A 1,712-nucleotide genomic window follows, 5' to 3' on the forward strand; every position below is an offset into this window, starting at 1 on the left:
GTCACTGCATGCAGCCAAATTTTGATACATTGCCTTTCTTTCTTTCTCTTTCTCTCTTTCTTTCTTTCTTTTGTTTTTGAGTTGAAAAGCTTTGTTAAAGCAAATTTGCACTGGTTTACAAAACTTCCTGAAGTATTTTAAGATGCTATCCACTGAAACTATGCCTTAAAAGTTAGCTTTTCTAAAAAAACACTGTTAATCTTCCCAAGGGCAATTTTCATGTATTAAACTGTGTATAGTGTTTTAAAGAGCTATATTCCTCAAAATAAACTATATAAAAAAGATTAAAAGTCCTCTTCATTTATTTCCCCTAAGTTCCATGCCTTTCTGAAGAGGCAGATGTCTTATGCTCAGAATCCCTTCCTGCACCACCCATCCACCCAAAAGAATCCCTTTATTATGATCTTGTCTTCTTCTACCACACAATAGTCAGTCTGATTTTATCCATGACTGGATTACTATATACATATCCCCATTTTCTATGACCTAAGTTTCCCTCTCTTCATTTATGTAGTTGTCTATCATCAATGAAAAGTCAAGAGAGATGTGAGTCTGATCTTATTTGTTACTCAAAAAATCTTATTTCTGACTGGATTCAGGCTTGGAAGCAGAAACTCACAGAGAGGAAAGTCTGCATCTCTTGGCAATTTGTTTCTGGGGCTTCTCTTTAGCCTCCTTCATGCTCTTGGCCAAAAGTTTAGTGTATTCTGCAGCCTCTTCCTTATTTTTCTTAGTACGCTGCTTCTTCAGAGCAATACACCGCCGATTGTGCTGCAGGACATGTGGAGTAACAAGATGCTGAATCTTGGGTGCTTTGGTCCTAGGTTTCTTACCTTCTTTGTTTAAGGGCTTTCTTACAACATACTGGTGGACATCATTTTCTTTAGAGAGATTGAAAAGTTTGAGGATTCTGCTAGCTCTTTGGAGCCCCAGGCAATGAGGCACCGTAGTATCAGTCTGTCCAGGAATATCTTTCTCTCCCTTTTTTACAATAACCAAGTTGAGAATGCTAAGATTGGCATCCACAATGCAATCACAAACTGATTTTCTTTCTTTCTTTCTCCAGTTCTCCTTGGTCTGTAAGAGGACCTTACTCAGTAGCAGGCGGACACGGCCATGGGTCATGACACCCTTCTTCATGGGGAAACCTTGTTTGTAGTTCTCACCACTGATTTGGGCCACATAATCCTTCCATTCTTCACCCAGAGAATCAGCAGCTACTTCTGTGGCCATAGGCTTCTCATAAAAAGTACGAAGTTTGAGTTCCTCTTCAATGAGTTTCCGGCTGTCAGTGGCTGGGAAGGAGATGCTCAGCTTCATCTTGAAGTAGCTGAATGCCTCCGCGGAGCCATGGAAAAGAGTGATATGTTGTGTTTCTAGTTTTATTTGCTTCAAGGAATTTTTTTGATTTCCTGCTTAATTTCTTCTTTGACCCATTGGCCATTAGGGAGCATGTGGCTTAATTTTCGTATATTTGTATAATTTTAAATGTTCCCCTTGTTATTGATGCCTAGTTTTACTACACTGTGGTCAGATAAGATACCTGATATGATTTTTTTTTTTTTTTGAGACAGTCTTACTCTGTCACCCAGTGTTGGGAACAGGCCCCCAAATCTGGCCATAAACTGCCCCCAAAACTGACCATAAACAAAATCTCTTCAGCACTGTGACATGTTCGTGATGGCCATGACACCCACACTGAAGGTTGTGGG

At 39.8% G+C, this 1,712-nt stretch overlaps 1 pseudogene; it reads right to left on the minus strand.

The window, feature by feature from the left end:
• Positions 1-351: 351 nt before the first annotated feature.
• On the minus strand, positions 352-1,361 carry RPS6P13 (ribosomal protein S6 pseudogene 13; annotated as a pseudogene).

Source organism: Homo sapiens, chromosome 9, assembly GCF_000001405.40.
Source record: "Homo sapiens chromosome 9, GRCh38.p14 Primary Assembly".
Lineage (NCBI taxonomy): Eukaryota > Metazoa > Chordata > Mammalia > Primates > Hominidae > Homo > Homo sapiens.